The following is a 20,615-nucleotide window of genomic DNA, read 5'->3' as shown; positions in this document are numbered from 1 at the left end:
CAATTTGTCTCCAGACTCTAGGGGACCTGTTAGTCTCTCAATAGTCAGAAACCAGTTTTGCTTTTTCTTGGACACACCACTGAGGAGTCCCTGTGCCTGTTCCCCTCTGGAAGGGCTTCCCATCCTGCCCCTTCACCTCTCTGCTGGGTCCTAGATCCCAAGGCCACACCAGATGCTATCAGACAACAGAGAAGAGAACCATAAATGTCCAGAAAGCATTCATCAGAAAGAAGGTGATTATGTTCTCTCAAATAAAGAGGCTGTGTGGAGGTATGAAGGGATTCCAGGTAGAAGGCATTGCAAATGTAAGACATAGTCAAGAGAGAACATGCAGTATGAGAAAATGTGGAGAGATCTGATGTGTCTAGAACACAAGGAATATAGGGAAGAAGGAGCGAGGGCTGATGCTGGACCTCGCCCTACAGACAGTGAGGAGCCACTTGGTTTAAAGCAGGGGCATGGCATGATGAATTTGTGCTTTAGGAAGATAATTTGGTGGCCTGCAAGATCAATTAGAAAGGGTAGAGAATGGAGGGAAAGCTATTGCATTCTTCCAGGTGAAAGCTGATGACGTCCTGCAGTGAAGCAGAGGCACTGAAGGAGAGATGGAGTGAAGGACAGAAGGAAGGAGGCCCACGTGACACAGGCTGCTGCCTGTGGCCATGATTATTCTCCTCTTCTCTGGACACAGGTGTGCTGCTTCTCAAGTTAGGCATGGGCACGAGCCTTGCTTTAAACCAGGGGTGTCTAATGTTTTGGCTTCCCTGGGCCACTTTGGAAGAATTGTCTTGGGCCACACATAAAATACACTAACACTAATGACAGCTGATGGACTAAAAGAAAAAGAAAATCACACAAAAAATCTCATAATATTTTAAGAAAGTTTATGAATTTGTGTTGGGCTGCAATCAAAGCTGTCCCAGGCCACATGCAGTCTGTGGGCTATGGGCTGGACAAGCTCTCAAGCTTGTCCAACCTGCCTTATTTTGTTGTTATTGTTCTGTTTCTTTTGTAGGCTTTTAGCAGCCTAAAGCCATGGTTTGTAGTTTCTGTCTCTAGTGATAAGCAAAAAACAGGGATGAGGAAGGGGCTTTACCGGACCAACCAGAAACAGAAACTGAGAACCCATGACTGTATTATCTCCCTTGGACACCCAAACCAATGAAATGGGAAAGGAAATGACCAAGTGCCATTTCCGGTAGCAGCCTGTAAGAGCCAGTGTGTGAGGTGTGACATTGCTCTTCCTGGCTCGGTGATGACCACGGAAGCAGGTGTTGAGATGTCACCTCCATCAGCTGGGGTCCTGGTGGGATGACAATCAGCAGAGCCCTCCTGCCCATTGAAATAAACACGTAGCATGAGTGAGAAATAAACATTTGTGGCTTTAAGATGTGCAGGTTTAGAGGTAATTAGTTACCACAGTATAAACTAGTTTACTTCGACTAATACGATGTCCAACTTAATATAATTTTGACAATATTGCCATATTTTCCTCTGAATATCAAATAATATTTCATGTTTTAAGGCTTCATTGTTACCAAGTCTTAACATTATGAGGTGCTTATTACATGTATTTCCTTATGTGGAATTTATCTAGGCACATCTTTTACCCACTTACCCACTGATGTCCTACTGACATTCAGGTGTGCTTGTGTGACCTTCGTGTACATTATGTCTTTTGCTATTTGTACAACTGATCTAGCTGATAATATTAAAATAAAAATAGCTACAATAATAGCAGCTATATTTACTGAACTCTTACACATGCCAAGTATCCTATAAATCATCTTACATGCTGTTCTTTTTTTTTTTTTAATCAGCATACTGAACCTATGAAATAAGTGCTATTATACCCATCTTACAAATGAGGAAATAGAAGCTCGGCAAGGTGAAGCCACTGGCCAGCAGGGGGCAGGGCTGGCATCTGAGCCCAGGTGGGTCTCACTGCTGATCTGGACTCTGGATTCCCGGGGGGCAACAGCTCGCTAACTTCACCCTCTCACTTGGGCCCCTGGATTTACCCTCTCAATCTTAGGGGAAAAACCTTCAATCAATTTGGCTTTCTCCTCCAGTTTCCATTTTTTCTCCTTCCTTCTCTGGTGTTTGTTTCCTGACTCACTTCTTTGGTTGCTATTGTGCTGACCTGTTTATTCACCTCACTCCTGAAAACACATTCTCAAAAATCCCTGATCCTTTCTGGCCAAGGTAGATGGCCTTTGGTCAGCCCTCATTCTTCCTGAGTTTCTGACACCCTCTTCAATGTTTTCCTTCTCTGGCTGCCATGGAACTGGAGGCTGCTGGTTCTCTCCCTACCTTTCTTACTGCCTGTCTCTGTCTCTTCCACCCTAGCCATGGCCTGCCTCAGCCATCAGTCTTTAGTGTCTCTCTCTGCCCACCCCCACAACCTCCCCTACCTGCAGCTGATCTGGAATCTACACATCTGGTCTTGAGCTCCCACCTAAGTTCTAATGCCATAATTGCACATAACCCTGTGCACATCCTGTGGACAAGCCCCAAGCTAAACAACTTTCCTTGAGAAAGCAGCTTCCCCATTAGACTTCCCTATTTCTGTCAATGATTCTATTCTCTCAACCGCTCAGTAACCTCAGCATAATCTGTGATTCAGCCCTTTCCTCTGATGCCCAAGGCCATTCCATTACCCACCAATACCACTGATTCCACCTTAGAAGACCTCTGGAATTTGTCCCATCCTTCCCTTTCCAACCACCTACCACCAGTGCTCACAGGATCAAGCCCAAACTCTTCCTCTCTGGGAATTAGAGACTCCTCGTGATCTGATCTCCTCTTCCTCCCCCCCACAGACCATAGGGCTCTCTGCTACAATCAAACAGCTCTCAGCTCACCAGATCGTGGCATAGGGACCTGGTGAGGAGCTGGCCACGAAGCAACTATAGAGACCAGACCAGTGATGGGGCCCAAAACCCATTAGCAAACAAAATCAAAGGGCACAGTGAGCAAAGGGCAGACTGGGTAGCAGGGCCAAACATGATGCAAGCAGCACCAAGATCATTTTTGGGAGTTACAAGAGAGACAATCAAAGTCTAGCCAAATGAAGATCCATGGAATTAGGAGACAAGAATAGAGTAGCTGTGGTGACGGCAAAGCATTGACAACGTGGATATGTGTCAATGGCAGCAAGGCCTCTACCACCTTCTTATCCTGCTGACTGGTTGGAAGGCCCACAGGACAAAAGGACAAAGGTGGATGGGTGAAAAGTGTTGGCCTGGGCAGCAAAGCCAGTTTTCTGCCATGAGTGCTTGTTTAAATAATTGATTTTACTGGTTCATGCTCACACCAACATCTGTGCCTTCTCTCCTATTGTCCCATCTATCCAAAGCCAACTAATCTTTCAGGATTATGGAAGACCTCATCAGTCAAGCCACCACAGGAATATCCCCTCTTTCTCTAAATTCCTTTATCACTTACCTGAATTACTCACTCTGTCAATCACATGTTCCTACCAAAAGACTCTACTGAAGTTAGTGTGTACTGACTCTACAAGAAGCAGCAACCACAGGGAAGACAGAGAATTTTTAAGACAGTCTCTGTCCTTAAGCCTCTCAGAATACACTTGAGGTGTGACGAGAGATACATATGTGGAAAGTTATTGTTTCCATCCCTGTCCTTAGGTAAGAGCCAATGAGACAGAGACAGGTAAAAGTCAGGAGCTACTAGAAGAGCTACGATTTGAGAAGGCCTGAGGATTCTGACAGACAGAGAAGGTGGAAATGTGAGAAAAAGTATTGTGTGTGATATAGAAGGGGCTGAGTATGGTGTACAGACGGTGAACAGACTGGAAGAGCAGGTTACTAAATATTACTAATTGACTAATTTTTAAAATATACATATATATATATATATATGTGTATATATATATATGTATATATATATATTCACTGAGAAGAATCTTCCTTTATTCAAATCCCAAGGAAGGAAAAGTCCATACTGCTGTGGCTTGGCAGGTGTCAACATTTTAAAAAGCATTTATGGAGTTTCTCACTTTACATCAGTAAGAAATTACTGTTCAAGCTTTTGTGATCTGGCTGAAAACACCAGTTCAGGGTCTTGCCAGCAGGAGGATTTGGTGCTACATATCACAGGAAAGTCAGGTTGGTCATGGCAATGGCATTAGTACTCAGTGGAAGGGTAGAAAAACATATAACCTGCTGTTTCTCACAAATCTCTCCCTTCCTGGGAGGCTACAGATGGTTCTGGATCAACCACTGATCTCCAGGCAGGGTTCCCAAATGTTTTGGATTACAGACTCTTATAATGGCTACCTCAGAAGTTAAGCCATCTGGTTTGATGCCATGCACCCACGCTGACCCAGAGCCCTCACTCTATGATTAGAAACTGACAGCAGGTAGAGTTAGGGTGGTTCACAAGCTGCCACAATGGCTGACTCATTTCCATGGCTCACCGTGATACTACACTGCAGGCAGCTACCTCAGGCAGATGGAGGGCCTCTGAGGAGTACCCGGCCCTTGGTACTTGGTAGAGGGCACTTCTCAGTCTGACTACTGACAGTCATGGGGTAGCAAACAGCAATGGCATCTCATCCAATCATGCATAAAATCAAGTCTTCAAGGACTACAGCCTTCTGTATTAGTTATAGCTTTCTAGAATTTCATGGAGGGGTAGATTTCCTTATAAACTCAGGAAAATGCTTTCCTTAAGTAAACATTACACCATCTAATAAATTCTGACCCTAAAGCTCAGGATCCCAAACAGACTCCATTTGCAGGGAAGTATTCTTGATGCTGCTGAAGAAGACTGGGCTTCTAAAGCCAGTCACTTCACTCACTGTTGCTTCAGACAAAGAAAAGCGTAAACAGCCGTCAGCTCTTCACTCTCCACATCACTGCATGACACTGGCACTGAGAGTTTAGGAAAAATTCTTACTTACCCTCCAGAATATATTTTCCAAGTCAGTTTACTGTCTTAATTTTATTTTACCATAAAGTATATACTATTTTGTAGTACAAAGTGTACTATCATAGTGAAGGAGGGCATGCTGAGAAGCAGGCAGAGAAAAAGAACAGTGGAGATCAAAATTGGCAACCTCTGAATTCACAGGGTCAGTAAAACATGAGAGGCTGATAAAAGTTGGCTATCCTTAGAAATTCGAGACTTTCTAGAAAACAAGGTCCATTTCCTGCTCCCGGATAGTGGAGCAATTTTCAGTCAACCACACATTGAGAAGGAGTATAAAAGTAGATCTGATTCCATGTAAGTCCTGTAAAGCAAATGAGGTGTAAGCTAAAAGTTAAGGATGAATGGTGAACCAAGGTGGATTCTGAAATCGAGTCTGGGAAGGGGTGACACAGAGGGGTGACTCAAAACAGGACCTTACACGTGGAGCCAAGGCCCACTTACCGTCCACATGTACTGAATTTGATACCACGTGATGGAATCAGTTGTAGCATATACTTCCTTTTGGAAGACATATACTCCTTTTTTGGAGACATAGTAGGGCCCTGAAGAGTAAACTCAGGTATGATGAATAGGGCGGTATAAGGGTCATACATTTTTGGAAACCAGAATTGGTTGTTTTAAAGAATGCTCGGCACATAAAGGATGAGCCTTTTTCCATCTGAACTAAATCACGGGAGTCTTGACTATTTTGGATTCCGAACCTTTTTTTAGATCTTTCAGGCTTCGGCAATTCCTATAAGAAGGCATAAAGTCTCTAAGAAGAAGCTACAATCTGTATCTAGGTTAGAGAAGGTGGATGAATTCTGCAGCAGACTCAGACTTGGTGATCTTGATTCAATATAGGAGACCTCAAAGATGGCGGCACTTTTCTTCCTGATGTGGCTGGCCCCTTGCATAAATGACCTGCTACAGCAGAGACAGGGCAGGCAGGCAACATCCAAGATAGTGAGTAGTTGAGAGGGTGAACAACTTATCCCTGTTTGCCCTGGAATTCCCCGGTATTAGTACTGACAGTCCCATGCCCCAGTCCTGAGCAAACTGGAATGTTTGGTCAGCCAAGTAATAAAAGAGTGTCCCAGAGTCAGCAGTTTAACTTTCTTACTTTGACAGTTTTGGTTTGGGCTATTTCACCAGAAACATGAGCAATTTTAAGATGAAATTGCCTAAAAGTTTGACTTATTGAGGCTAGCCCTTAATATTTAGCCTCAATCAAGATGATTTTGAGTCTTCCATTTTTCAGGAATTTTCTAACAATATAAGTTTGCAGGTGAATATGCTCTGAAGGTCTGGTGGCTACAAAATAAGCACATCAGAACACTACAGTTCTGCCAATCACTTGTTAATAGTTTACCAGAAATATCCAAAGAAATATTTGCACAACTCTTTTTTTTTTTTTGACATGGAGTCTCCCTCTGTCGCCAGGCTGGAGTGCAGTGGCGCAATGTCGGCTCACTGCAACCTCTGCCTCACAGGTTCAAGTGATTCTTCTGCCTCAGCCTCCTCAGTAGCTGGGACTACAGGCATGTGCCACCATGCCCAACTAACTGGTTTTTTTTTTTTTGAGACAAAGTCTCACTCTTGTCCCCAAGGCTGGAGTGCAATGGCACGATCTCAGCTCACTGCAACCTCCACCTCCTGGGTTCAAGCAATTCTCCTGCCTCAGCCTCCCGATTAGCTGGGATTACAGGCACCTGCCACCATGCCCGGCCAATTTTTGTATTTTTAGTAGAGACGGGGTTTCACCATGTTGGCCAGGCTGGTCTCGAACTCCTGACCTCAGGTGATCCGCCTGCCTTGGCCTCCCAAAGTGCTGGGATTACAGGTGTTAGCCACCGCGCCCAGCCCTAATTTTTGTATTTTTAGTAGAAACGGGGTTTCACCATGTTAGCCAGGATGGTCTTGATCTCTTGACCTCGTGATCCACCCACCTCAGCCTCCCAAAGTGCTGGCATTACAGGCATGAGCCCCCATGCCCAGTCTGCACAACTCTTAAAACAGATAAAATCAGGTCGATGGAATTAAGGCTCTTGGCAATTAGGAATTTATCCTGTGAAAAGGACAAAGCTTTAGTGTTCAGCCAAGAAGGAAAGGATCTAAATCTGATGTGGAATGTCTGTGAGCAAGAGGGAATTAAGAGAAATTTAAGTCAAAGATAATGAAATTCTTTTCAGCTTTAACTTGCTATAAATAAATAAGCTGTGCTGGTTCCAGAATTTTTTTTACCTAGGAGGGGCCTAGGGTGGCAATCTGACTGGAAGAGAGTGTGTGAAGTTGCATTTGCCTGATGCTTTAAGATTGAGAAAACAACAACTGTCCATCTCAAAGCTCCTAACCCCAGCCTCTGCATTGGTACTGCCTCTGCAAAGAAACAGCTTTATAACAAGTAGGCAGAAAAGAAAATGGAAGAAGTGGCCGTTTCATATATGGAGTCCCGTGCTCTTTAGATCCAGAAAATAACTCCATATATTGCACTATCAGAGAGATTTGAATGAGTGCTTTTCTGTAGTGTATTTCTAATTATTTAATACTTCCTTGGTACACTAGGACAAAAATAGCATATTTTGCATATCTATGACAAATATAGTGTTCGTACACACAGAACTGAGCTCTTATTTGGGGCAGATAAAAGAAAAATGGATATTTACTGTTAAGAAGTATGTACAACAGCAATAGAGAGGGAGTTGGTACTGTTTGAGAGAAAAATCAAAAGTAGATTTGCTCTGCTTTATTAGAAATAATTAGGGGCTGGGTGTGGTGGCTCACACCTATAACCCCAGCACTTTGGGAGGCTGAGGCTGGAGGATCGCTAGCCCAGGGGTTTAAGACCAGCTTGTACAACATGGTGACACAGGTGAGACCCTGTCTTTACAAATATATTTTTAAAAATTAGCCAGCCATGGTGGTGTGGACCTTTGGTTCCAGACACTTGTGAGGCTGAGATGGGAGGATCTCTTGAGCCCAGCAGGTTGAGGCTACAATGAGCCATGATTGTGCCATTGTACTCCAACCTGGGTAATAGAGTGAGACATTGTCTCAAAAAAAAAAAAAAAAAAAAAAGAAAGAAAGAAAGAAAGGAGAAAAAAAAAGAGAAATAACTAGGAAGCACATTTGTGAGGAAACTGATTTTTAAAAAGTGCCTCTAGAAAACTTCCGTAATTAAAAAGCTTGAAAAACTGATCTTTTACAAATGCCTCCCCACGATGAGTCTCAGAGAAGTAGATCCTCAAATGCTCACTAACCAAGGCTGATGGATGACTAATTGGCAGGAAACTAAAGGTTTGGACACATTATGATGAGAACAGCATTCCAATTGGATTTCCGTTTGGAGCTTGTACTCCGGTGAGTGAAGAGAAAAAGGGAAAACCACCGGAGATGAATCCATTATGGTCTATGGAAGGGCCACAGGGCTCCTCCCATTCTCTTATGACTACCTGAAGCAGCTTCCAGGCGGACACGTCCAGAGAGGGCACCATGGCATAGGAGAGCCAACTGTAATTTTTGGCTTGGTGTTAGTGGGTATGCCCCTCACCCCTAAGTTTCAGGTGTCTCTCAAATCCACAGAGAACAATAATGTCCAGTTCTTTTTAATACAGGTGGCAGCTGGTTGCAGAAGAAAGCGATTACCTTTGCATCTCTGGGGAAGAAAGTACCCACATACATGTGGCTGTGGTTTTCATCATACTGCCTCCCTTCTCTGGACTCTGCAGGGGCTTCTAGATGTCTCTTGGATCCAGTGAAGACAACTCAACTCTCTGTTTTTCGGCCTATTAGCCAAGTCCTCCATCACACTCCTCCTAAATGCCTTCATCTTTAGCTATAAGACAGCCCATACTGGCAAGCTTGCTAACGAGTGAAAAAGCAGCAGCCTGGCTTCCCACAGGGCAGTATGTACATTTTAATAGCAGGCTTCCAGAGACAGGGCACCTGCTGCCTGTCTCTACTTCCCAACCGGGACCTGGTGATGAAAACTTCAGCCAGGCCCAGAGGGAAGGGTGGAGGCTGTGAACTGCCATTATGCATATGCCTGGGGTTGTCCTGCCTTAATTTAAGACCATAAGCAATCCATCTTCTTCCAGAAACAGGGTAGAGCCTTCCCAGATCAACAAAGCTCTGTCAGAGCTGAAGGTACACCTGATTCCCTAGAGCACCATTGAACAAGCCGGATACAGTGCAGTTTGTTTCTCCTGGGCAGGCACACATGGCGTCTGCCAAAATGAGAACATCGTTCACTTACACCTGTTTATGGAAAACAAGATACAGAATGGCATTGTACTTGAGATTTGGAACCACCAGGAATCCTGTTCTGTCTCCCCAGGTATGCGGCTCTTGATTTGGGGTGTATATTCCAGTGATAAAGAAAAGAGACACAAATTCTCATAAAACAAGATGGAACATTTTAAACGGACACAGAAGTTATATGTTGGGGAAACATGGTAGGAAGATGGAAGAAGGGCTCATTCTGGCTAAAGAGGAGTAGGGCGGCAAGTTAGAGAATAGTATCTCAGAACTGATGCTATTTAAGGCAGGGCACAGGGGCTCCCACCTGAAATCCCAGCGCTTTGGGAGGCCAAGGTGGAAGGATGGCTTAAGGCCAGGAGTTTGAGACCAGACTGGGCAACATAATGGGGCTCTGTCTCTATAAAAAAAATTTTAAAAATTAGCTGGGTGTTGTGGTGCCCACCTGTAGTCCCAGCTACTTGGGAGACAGGCAGGAGGATAGCTTGAGCTCAGGAGTTTGAGGTTACGGTGAGTTACGATTGCACTACTGCACTCCAGCCTGGGCAACAGAGTGAGACTCTGTCTCTTAAAAGCAGAATTGATGCTATTTAAGTTTTCTTATAGGATAAGAGGCATTTTGGTGCTGAGAAAAAAGAGGGGATCTGGGATAGTGGGGAAACAACAGCCCAAAGGTCAGGTACTTCACAGGCAATGAGAGAATGCTGTGAGTAATGAGGCTGGACAGGTAGGTTCATGCCTCGGCTGCTGGCCTGCTTGAGGAAGCCAACTCGAGTAGTATTATGACAGATGGGTAGGTCAGAGGCAGGGAGGTCATAGTACACTTTTGTAAACACCCAAGGGACTGGTAGTTACACAGCTGAATACATACACAAAGCCCCTGAGCTATATACTTAAGATTTGTATATTTTACTGTATGTAAATGATAGCTTTAAAAAGTACTTAAAAAAAAAAAAGCCAAAGGGAGACAGTGCCAGCCTGTCCAGGAGTACGGGGGCTGGGAATAGTTAGAAGAAGACAAGCACACAAGAAAACCAGTCTCTTTACCCTGCAGTCAGGGACCCTCTCCCAGGGTCCTTCCCCTAAAAAGACCACTCTGATGTTTGCTAACAAAGCAAGGGTACCAGAATCAGAAGATGTCCGTGCTGAAGGGCACCATGGGAGACACACCTATTTCATTTTACATAGAAGGAAACCAAGGACCAGAGGGGCTATCATTTTATCCAGGGTTCTGTGGCCAGTTTAGAGGTAGAAGACCTAGGTTTGCATCCTAGTTCAAATTTCAATTCAAAGCTCTTTCTCTGCCCAACTGTTGCCAGCAGCCATCAGGAAATTTGAATGAATGACAGAATTCTGAAGCTATAAAAAAGTCAAACGTGAGTAGACAGGTAGCAGCATGGGTGAATGTTCATGGCAACGTTCATCATGGTTTGGTGAAAGCAGGTTACTAAACAATATCTATCACCGTGATTTTGTGGGGGCAAGTATAAGGAGAAGGAAAACCACAGGGATGATTGCCCACATATTAATAGTGCATTATCTCTGGGTAGAATTATAATTTTTTTTTTCACGTGGGAGGTTTTCTGCTAAAAACTGAAAAACCTGTTAGACAAATTCCAAAAGAGCTATAGGGCCAGTGTGGTGGCTCACGCCTGTAATCGCAGCACTTTGGAAGGCCGAGGCGGGCGGATCACGAGGTCAACAGTTCAAGACCAGCCTGACCAACAGGGTGAAACCCCATCTCTATTAAAAATACAAAAATTAGCTGGGTGTGGTGGCATGCGCCTGTAATCCCAGCTACTCAGGAGGCTGAGGTAGGAGAATCACTTGAACCCGTGAGGCAGAAGTTGCAGTGAACCGAGATTTGAGATTGCGCCACTGTACTCCAGCCTAGGCAACAGAGTGAGACTCTGTCTCAAAAAAGAAAAAAGAAAGAGCTATAACATTTATAGATAATTTTTGTGTGCTCTACCTTTTCCATTTAAAAAAATGAATATGCATCAAAGTTTTTATTGAAAAAAAAAGATTTGTATGACTATCTAGATTTTTGTCATAATTCCGAACTGGGCGTCTGCTTGTTTCACTAAAAGTAAACACTTCATGAGAACAAAAAATGAATCACTAGGTAAATATTGATCTGTTTCTAAGAGAACAGGAGACATAACATCCCACTGAAGCAAAGTTTTCCTCCAGACATTAAAAGATTAATTTATAATGTATCTTTGGGTAAATCATCTTAGAACAGATTTTCAAATTGACTTTAATGCTGAGGGGGAAAACAGTAATCCCTGCTCCTCGAGCATGCTTTCGATGTTCACCTTTCATCAACTTTTTTTCTATACCAGAACAGTAAGAAGACACGTCCTGATTCCGCGCATGTCATCATAACCAGCTACCCGCGGTCAGGATTACTGACTAATATTCACAGCTTGTTGTAAATCAGTTAACAGAACTTTCCAGCCTAGGCGAGTGCTTGTGAAGGCTGCAGACAGGCTTCCTTGTAGGAAAAAAATCTTCAAAGTCCCAGGAGAAGCACTTTCCCTCATAACAGACGTGTTTCCTGCCCTTAGCTTTCAACACATGGGAGGTTGTTATAGTCATGTGACACAGAAAAAGACTATGGGGGACAGTAGCTTCCAGTGGAGTGACAGAAACAGAAAGAGGGTCAGATGGGAATCAAAGGTCACCCAGGGGCTGTCATCATCAGGGGCTGGCCTCTGCCTCAGTTCTCTCACTTGTACCCAAGAAAAGTCCCTGTTCACTTCCCCAGAGATAGGAAGGCAGCCAACCTGGTGTCACACTCCAGTTTGAGTTCAGTTTCCCTCTCTGCTACTCCCAGTTTCCTCATCCCTAAAATGAAAGGAAAAATGAATCCAACCTTAAGGTTGGTAAGACTGAATGGCATAACGTCTATGAAAGGTACTCAACAAATTTCAAATGCAGTAGTAACGCGGACAAAAGAGAGTGGTAATGTGAAAACATTTTGGTGATATGAGACATGAACACAGGATACAGTGATTCCTAAAATTAGAATCTAAATCAGAAATAAGAGGTGAGTTGAAGGATGGGGGGGCAATAAAGTGAATCCTTTTGCCCTTTAGTCATTTGTCATGTTCAAGTCAGATTGCTCGGGTGTTTAGAATTTAGCTGCTTAAGTAATGCTCCAACATGCTCTAAGAGGGCTGGTCCTATCATCAAAGGGAGAGGCTTTGGAAGGAAATTGGTTCTGGAGAATTTGTCCCTTCACATACACCTTCAAACCATAGCTAAGTCATAAACAATCATCAGGTTTGCCTTTAACTTAGGCTGACCTCCACCACTCCCTAGTTCGGGCTTCACCAGGAGAGAGGGTGGCAATCAGCCAATGACCAGGGGGCTCCATGCTGATGCCCCTGGCTTAGGCTGATGCTAATTTTCTAAACACAGCCACGAGGTCCAAGGAGATGGGGCTGGGGATCCACTTCCATAGGAGGAGGTGGGTGGGAGCCATTTCAGTAGAGGTCACACCTTAGACTCATCAAGAAAATGTGCTAGAGAGGGAAAAAAGCAAAGAGAAACTGTTGGGCTTAATGTCTCTGGATTATTTTTAAAAGGAAAAAAAAGAAAAGGAGGTAAAAACTGCCACAGTCAGCTTTCTTTTACACTTTGAACAATTAGTATGGAATCAAACCTTACATGATGTTTTTCTGGAGCCTGGGCAATAGCAGCTTTTGCATGGCTTCCTTCCTCTAATTACTCAGGAACCAATGCTGGGTGGAAATTTGCACTCATCTGCACAGAAACTTGCAGGGTTTTAAATACTTTGGTTTTCAAGAGCTCTCTAAGAATGAGATGACAAAAGAACTGGGTCTAGCAGTCCTACCCAAACTGTAAGCTGAAAGTGAGTGCAAATTTCAGTAACAGTCGAAGTTATTGATCTAAATTAAGTATTAAAAAAAATTCAGGCCGAGCGCCGTGGCTCATGCTTGTAATCCCAGCACTTTTGAGGCTGGCAGATTACCTGAGGTCAGGAGTTCAAGACCAGCCTGGCCAACATGGTGAAACCCCGTCTCTACCAAAAAATACAAAAATTAGCTGGGCGTGGTGGCACGTAGTCCCAGCTACTGGGGAGGCTAAGGTAGGAGAATCGCTTGAACCTGGGAAGCAGAGGTTACAGTGAGCTGAGATCATGCTACTGCACTCCAGCCCGGGTGACAGAGTGAGACTCTGTCTCAAAAAAAAAAGAAAGAAAAAAAGAAACATTCAAAATATGACTATGACAAATACTGGATGATTTTCAAAACATATACCGTGCACACCCTTTACAGAGCTGATTTTTAACTGCAAACACTGCATATAAGAACACCATGTCCTTGCTCTTGTGCCTGGCTGTGGAGGCTACTGTAATAAAAAGTCCCCTCAGCAGGGGCAGTTCCAAATTCAGTATGATGACATTTATAGTGTCCACCACTATTACGCAATCTCTCTCTTGACTTGGGGTCATGACATCACTGTCACAACTATGAGAAAACTGCATAAGAATACCGCCCATGTACACCCAAAACACCTAAAGCACATAATAGTACATGTGAAAATTAACTAGACAACTACACAAAGCAGGGGCCCAGACTCTCAGATGTTCATTGCCTATTTGTCTGCTCTTAGAAGAGAATCATTCACCCAGTGTCCCCAACAGCCAAAAGAGGTGATGAGAGGTGCTATCAGGATGCAGGGAAGAGCTTCTACCACCACTGGGTCTTAGCAACTGCATTAGTCATGTGCTGAACGGACACACTTGAGGAAGACATCTCTCTGAGTAGCTGCAGCCTGAGAAGGCACAGGCAGAATGGAGTAAGCTTGAAAAAGCACAAAGCGAGTGAAGCAGCATGACAAAAGGAGTGGGGAATTCAGACCCACTGTGCACGAGGCTTGGCCTGAGCCCTGGAGGAAGACACAGTCATTCAGAAGACATCTATAGAGAAAAAGTGAACACTGCATCTCTTGAAAACAGTATGTGTGACACAGAGTGCAGATTCCCTTCATTTTACAACTACAGTTTCCTCTGTCAGAAGCAGAGCCCGCCCCTGCTGCCTCCAAAATACAGATCTGGAGGAAGGTGCAGTGGCTCATGCCTGTAATCCCAGCACTTTGGGAGGCCAAGGCGGGCAGATCACTTGAGGTCAGGAGTTCAAGACCAGCCTGGCCAACATGGCGAAACCCCGTCTCTACTAAAAATACAAAAATTAGCCGGGCATGGTGGAGCACACCTGTAATTCCAGCTACTCCAGAGGCTGAGACACCAGAATCGCTTGAACCCGGGAGGTGGAGGTTGCAGTGAGTCGAGATCATGCCACTGTACTCCAGCCTGAGTGACTGAGCAAGACTCTATCTAAAAAAAAATACAGATCTGGGCTTCTATAGGGAAACCTGGTTCACTCATACAAAGCACTCTCTTTAAGTGCATTCTCTTAGCTAATGCTTGGTACATTTTTCAACAAGGCAGATGGAGAGTACTCAACTAATGGATCTGTGCTTTTTTGCTTATTAATTATTTTGGGTGAGGATAGTTTCTCCATCCTAGAACTGGCAACAAAGCATTCGTTAAAGGACTAGAATATTGTCCAACTTTTCCATATCTGCCTAAAAATGACTACTATTTTCTGCAAAGTCCCTGTCATGGATAATGACATCACACTGTAGAGGAAGGAATGTTTCAGGCAACAGAGATCTGATTCTCTCCTACCCTCCAGGATTCAAACACTAGACTGCAATCAGACTGTGGCTATTTTAACACCAGTGACGTCATATCCCATTGATGCCTTAAGGACACGATGAGAGAAGTTTCTTCTTTGAACATCACACAAAGCCAAATACATCAGCAGCTGAGCATACAGAGGGCATGAGGTCTACTCACTCTTTGGTCAGAAGAGGACAGGACTTGAGCAGAAAGCGTGAGAGCCCCGAGTCCTGGAAGTAGAGGTCAGGTGGGGCTGTGGGGCTCTTCAGGTTCAAACACCGGACGATCACGTACAGCACAGCAGCCACTGCAGCCAGCTTCACTCCATCAAACACGGCTGGGAGTTCGGGAGTCTCCAGCATGGCATTCATCTTGATCTGGGGAGCAGAGGCACAGGTCTAAGTTTACAAGCACAGTGAGGACGGGTGGTGCCCACCACCCTACAGACGCATGGTGGGCTAAGAGATACTGCCAGTGACGGTGTGTCACAATTCAGATGTTTCCGCAGGCTCCTGACAGGCAGACACCACCAGCATCTTACAGCTACTAATCAACTGGCCATAATCCAAATCACAAACAGTCTGAGCATGGATAAACTGGGTACTGTGTTTTCTTTTTATAATTTCACAAGCATTTCTAAGATGAGCAAATCAGAAAATTGAAAAATGCTAAGAATAGTGTCCTTTATCGGAGGGGGAAAAATAAGATCAGTCGAAGAGGTGGCTGCAGGACTAGGGGTAGCACTTTGATTTTTGTTAACAGGTCATCCTTTTGTTTTTTTTCCTCTCTGTAGGCTTAACCTGCACCTGGTGCCCCAGGTGTGTGTTAAATGTTGTGTTTACAGCCTTGAACAGAAACCCGGAAAGGACTGCTGGTGCCACCAGGTGTGGTTGTACTGCCTGCTGGCTTCACCCCTTTATTTGCAGAGCAGGCTGAGATAAAGCAACCTCAGCCTGACTCAGCCATCTGCTCCCCACAGGCTCCCCAGTGCTGGAGTCTGGGTCAGACTCAGCCCAGGTCGCAGCGATCCTGGCTACTAAGGGTTTCAGGAATGAAATAGAGCTCGGCTAGTTTGTTTTGTTTTGTTTTTTCCCCCTGCGGAGGCTACCTGACTATAGCCATTAGTCCAAAATTAGGTTAAAAGTAAACCAAATTGACCACTAGGTCAAAATCTAAAATTGGAATACAGAAAATGTATATGCTCATCTGGCCTTTCCCAAGCTCTCCCAATATTTCTCTTTTGAAGTAACTTTACCTTATATACAAAACACACACACACACACACACACACACACACACACACACACACACACACACACACACACACATACCTCCAAACATATAAAACCAAACATAAGCAATGACAAAAGCAACAGCAACAAAAATCCAGTATTTTCCTTGCTGCTCGGCAGAAAAACAGAACATCAGCTGTTAACCTTAAAAATCAGGGAAATCACAAGCTAACAAAAAAGAGAAAATGGTAACTCTCATAGCCAAGGTAGCTATGGCAACAGCTTCCCCTGGAATGGTTTCAAGTAGCCTCTGCTAACAACAGTCATCATGAGAGCTCTGGTAGCCAGTGCTAGAGACAGGCAGAACAAAACAATCTCCACCAACTGTGTTTGGGGTATAACCGACTGAACTTTCCTAAGACCTACAGTAAGTCCAGAGAGGACTCAGAAACCCTTTTCTAAACTCGAGGTCACTTTGGCAGAAAATCTCTGGCAGGGATTCCTAATTCAGTAATGAATGGAAGTAAAAGATCACAGCTCCGTAACTAGTCTTCCACCATCAGGGCAAGACAAGGATTTTTAAAAACTTACTGACACAATTTCAAATCAAGGCTAGGCCATGAATATAAACTCAGCTACACTGAACTTCTGTGAGGAGACAGTTTTCCTAAAACTTAACTTCTGGGCTGGGCACCATGGCTCATGCCTGTAATCATGCACTTTGGGAGGCCAAAGTGGGTGGATCACTTGAGCTCAGGAGTTCGAGACCAGCCCTGGCCAACATGGTGAAATCCTGTCTCTACCAAAAATACAAAAATTTGCCGGGCGTGGTGGCACATGCCTGTAATCCCAGCTACTTGGGAGTCTGAGGCAGGAGGATCACTTGAACCCGGAAAGCATAGGTTGCAGTGAGCCAAGATCACACCACTGCACTCCAGCCTGGGGACAAGAGCGAAACGCCGTCTCAAAAAAACAAAAACAAAAAACAAAACAAAAAAAACTTAACTTCTGGTGACACTCCTCCTCACTCCTGGGGTCATATCCCCTGAAAGCTGTCTATAAACCCCTAAAACAAGGATCCTTAACTTGGGGTCTGTGGGTTCCCTGTGGGATCCTGCGGTCTAAGAACCCCCTGAAATCATGTGAAAGTTTGTGCACATGAGCAGTTTTCTGGGCAGAGGGTTCGCAGCTTTAATCAGATTCTCTAAAAAGGGTCTGTGGCCTAAAAAAGTACATAGCACTGCACTAAGATGCCCAATAGGTTTAACCTGTGGCTGCCATTCCTCACCTTGTCCAAACCCTGCCACGGATGCCAAACAAAGGCTAAACAAATGTCCAAGATGATGCAGCTTGTTAATATAGGCTTTTAAGTCTCCACATTCTATTAGAGGACCAAAACTAAAATCCACCAGAAATTCTCTGACTATATGCTGGTAATACAGAACTGAACTAGAAGTTCTTCCTCATCACCTTTGTTGGAAACAGAACAGGGTAATGCAGCAAGTAGTTTCTACCAGTTTCCTTGTTGGTTTGGGGTGGACTTGTTGAATTAAACAAGTCAGTCCTTCCCTTCCCACTTCTATTCACTGCTTCCTAACATAAGGGGAGGAGAAACAAAAATAAGAGTCTCAGCAATACATACCAATGTTACTTATTCTTCCCACTGCAAATACGAATTTTCCTTGAAGAGTTGTACAGTTGGGCCGGTCAGGTCAGATCTCTTATTCAAACAAACCTAAAAGCTAAAAAGATTGGATGGTAATGTTTTAAAGAACGAAAAAGAAGCAGTTTAATTGAAACGTAAGCACAGTCAAGTTCCTCTGCATTTAAAGTCTTTAGGGAAAAGACAATTTTGTTAATTAACATGTATGCCACACTCTTGAATGTTTGGCCTTTTTAACAAGCCTGCTGCGGGAAGGCTTTGTGAATCCACCAAGACTGACAGGCTCTCTCTGGTTTCTAGGACAAGTTTTCTGCTGTGTTCCTAATTCTGGCTAAAGCCAATTCACACTGCTTTGAACCTTTATCTCACAACATAATCTCCAGAAATGCCTAACAGGACAGGTAACATCTCTGTGTGACCAATGAAATAACTTAGCAAGGCTTGAGATCGAGACAGCACAGCCAGTCGACTTATTTGTTCTCTTCCAAACATACAGCAGGGACAGAAAAAAATATGAGCTGAGAAAAGTAATAGGGCACAGATGGGCTCAAAAACAAAGTACCAGAAACAGAACAGGGCCAAAAGCAAAAGGTAGGGGATTGCATTGCTTGTAGGGTCTGAGTTCAGACTATGGCCAGAGGCTGGCTGCTGAGAAGCGCCAGAAGCTAAAAGTGCTTGCTGTCAGATGGGGGACCTGAGCTGAGCCTAGTGCAAGAAGCTGCTAAAAGATCTATGGCTTCCAAAGCAGCAGAAGCAAAAGAGAGAACATGGGGGAAACAGCCCAATGTTTATGCAGCACTATCTACGTGCTAAGCTCTGCTCTTCAAACTTGACATATGGTAGCTCATTTAATCCTTCCTGTACCCTATGAGGTAGATGCTATTATTACCCCATTTTATAGACAAGGTAACTGAGACATAGAAAGTTTAAGTTACTTTCCCAGTGTCATACAGCTGGTGGGTAGAAAAGCCAGCTTTCATATCTGGCCCAAGAGATCCTCCTCTTAATCACCATGCTGTGCTACTTGAAGGCAGGTAAGTGAGAAAGAAAGAGAGGCAAGCAAGAAAATGGATGGTGCAGGAGACACACACAAGACACCAGAGGCTTGCCCAAAGTCAGACAGCTGTAAACAGCAGAGCTGGGATTCAAGCCCAATTTCTTTTTTCTGATTCTACCACACCAAAATGACCTCAGAAGAAAAACAAAGCCCATTGAAGGAAAGAATCAATTAACCTTCAGAACAGTCTTGCCCAGCTTCCAATTATTATCTGTCCCTATTCTGAGACAAATTAGTCATAGAGGACCAGGCTGTGGTGAGGTGGGGCCGGAAGAGCAAAGTCTTCAGCCACATCACAGGCCACCTGACCCCACAGGCTTGGCTGCCAAATGAAAAACAGGGCATGGACCAGATCAAAGATCCTAAACTGGCAGCCCATGGGGCAGGCAGTGTTGCATTCAGCTGGCATTTAAAAAAAATTAATTTATTCATTGCCATATTATTAACACCAGGAGATTTCAGATAAAAATCTAGATTTCTGGTTTCTCTTGGAAACAAAATCAGAAGATTTGGCAACACAGGGCCAGCATTCTCACACGGCAACAATGGACAGAGCTGAGCAGGGCTGCCCCGCTTCAGACCCAGCAAGCTCTCTCCAGGTGGCCACAGTCCCCACCACTCCCTATTAGTGGTGACCTCAACACTGATCCCTGGCCCGCTTTAATAATGTATGGTACCTGAATGGTCCCCGTAAGCATCTGAATATGCAACCTTTGGAGAAAAGCATCTAAGGTCCCTTCTAGCCCTGAAAAGGTCTGTGTTGACTGAATATTTGAAAAATATACAATCAATATATATATATATAAATAAAAAATCCCTAGAAAAAATGATGGAAAGGCAGAGTGGCAATGCTGATAGGATAACAAGATGTAGTGCCTTTTATTTATTGATATTTTCATTGAGGTTTATTTATACCTTAACTCTTTCCACAAACTATTTGAGACAGCTTCAAGAAAACACCCTTACTGAATCTATATGCATAGGGAAAGATATGGAAATGTATAAGACTGGTGAATGCTTTCTGGCTTCCCTTAGCTAGGTGAGTCCATGTAACTAAATTCTGGTCAGCTCTGGAGGGGTAGATCTAATTTTTGGGAAAGCTCCTTAGAGGGCAGGGAGTTCACCCTTTGTCTGCCCTTTTCCCTTCTTGCATCCCTGGAATGCAGAAAACATGGCTGCAACTCTAACAGCCCTCTTGGGCCATGAAGTGACCTTGAAGTCTCTCTAGGAGCCCCATTAAGATGACAGCAGGGCAGAGAGACAGAAATCTGAATTCTTGACAACTTAATGGAGCCACCATATCAGATCTAGACTGCCTATCTCAGGACTTCTTTTACATGAGAGAATGAGCAGTTGAAGCCACTGTGACTTCTAGACTGTTTTACTTGGCAATTTCTAAAGATATAGAAGGAAAATTATATATTCAAATCTTTATGAATGCTAAAATCACTGCGTTATAAGAGTATTGGCGACTTCTTTTTTTCTATTTCCCAAAATTCATAATGACTACAAACATTTTTATTATTAGAACAAAGCTTTAAAATAGCAACTAAGAAAATCTAAGGAGAAATTTTAAAACACTGGAAAGGAAAATATGTATGTCAACATACACAACAATTATATATGTGATAAAGCTTTAATGCATGTGATTATGCTTTAATTAATTTATCTGAGCTTTCTGACTGTCAGGGGGAAAAGGGAAACCCAGTCAGACCTATGGTTTCCAAAATGGAAAGAGAGCTAACATATATTGTG

The 20,615-nt window shown here is 43.9% G+C and overlaps 1 protein-coding gene and 1 pseudogene across 15 annotated transcripts in view, besides 3 other annotated features; both read right to left on the bottom strand.

Annotated features, from left to right (window-relative positions):
- ABHD2 (abhydrolase domain containing 2, acylglycerol lipase) overlaps nt 1-20,615 on the bottom strand; it is a 161,358-nt gene that overhangs the window by 70,749 nt on the left and 69,994 nt on the right. For 12 of the 15 annotated variants that reach the window (NM_001416423.1, NM_001416424.1, NM_007011.8 and 9 more), the window contains 2 exons: nt 17,783-17,882; nt 15,086-15,285 (listed from right to left, as the gene is read on the bottom strand). The exons of 1 other annotated variant lie outside the window; for it this stretch is intronic. In NM_001416423.1, the coding sequence (NP_001403352.1) occupies nt 15,086-15,279 (194 nt within the window). In that variant the 5' untranslated portion in view covers nt 15,280-15,285; nt 17,783-17,882. The remainder of the gene's footprint in view (nt 1-15,085; nt 15,286-17,782; nt 17,883-20,615) is intronic. 2 more of the 15 variants (NM_001416422.1, NM_001416418.1) reach the window with 2 other exon arrangements.
- On the bottom strand, nt 10,767-10,828 carry RNU7-195P (RNA, U7 small nuclear 195 pseudogene; annotated as a pseudogene).
- Nucleotides 15,477-16,052: an enhancer, noted in NCBI's record as "NANOG-H3K27ac-H3K4me1 hESC enhancer chr15:89658786-89659361 (GRCh37/hg19 assembly coordinates)". NCBI's record gives its function as "activates a minimal SCP1, AML or CMV promoter by ChIP-STARR-seq in primed H9 embryonic stem cells {active_cell/tissue: H9 hESC(primed)}" and the evidence as "EXISTENCE:reporter gene assay evidence [ECO:0000049][PMID:30033119]".
- Nucleotides 18,617-18,746: an enhancer, noted in NCBI's record as "active region_10042". NCBI's record gives its function as "activates an Ori minimal core promoter by ATAC-STARR-seq in GM12878 lymphoblastoid cells {active_cell/tissue: GM12878}" and the evidence as "EXISTENCE:reporter gene assay evidence [ECO:0000049][PMID:35858748]".
- Nucleotides 19,820-20,358: an enhancer, noted in NCBI's record as "OCT4-NANOG hESC enhancer chr15:89654480-89655018 (GRCh37/hg19 assembly coordinates)". NCBI's record gives its function as "activates a minimal SCP1, AML or CMV promoter by ChIP-STARR-seq in primed H9 embryonic stem cells {active_cell/tissue: H9 hESC(primed)}" and the evidence as "EXISTENCE:reporter gene assay evidence [ECO:0000049][PMID:30033119]".

This window comes from Homo sapiens, chromosome 15 (genome assembly GCF_000001405.40).
Source record: "Homo sapiens chromosome 15, GRCh38.p14 Primary Assembly".
Classification (NCBI taxonomy): Eukaryota; Metazoa; Chordata; class Mammalia; order Primates; family Hominidae; genus Homo; species Homo sapiens.
The sequence above is the reverse complement of the archived record's forward strand: the minus strand, read 5'-3'. Positions and strand labels throughout refer to the sequence as shown.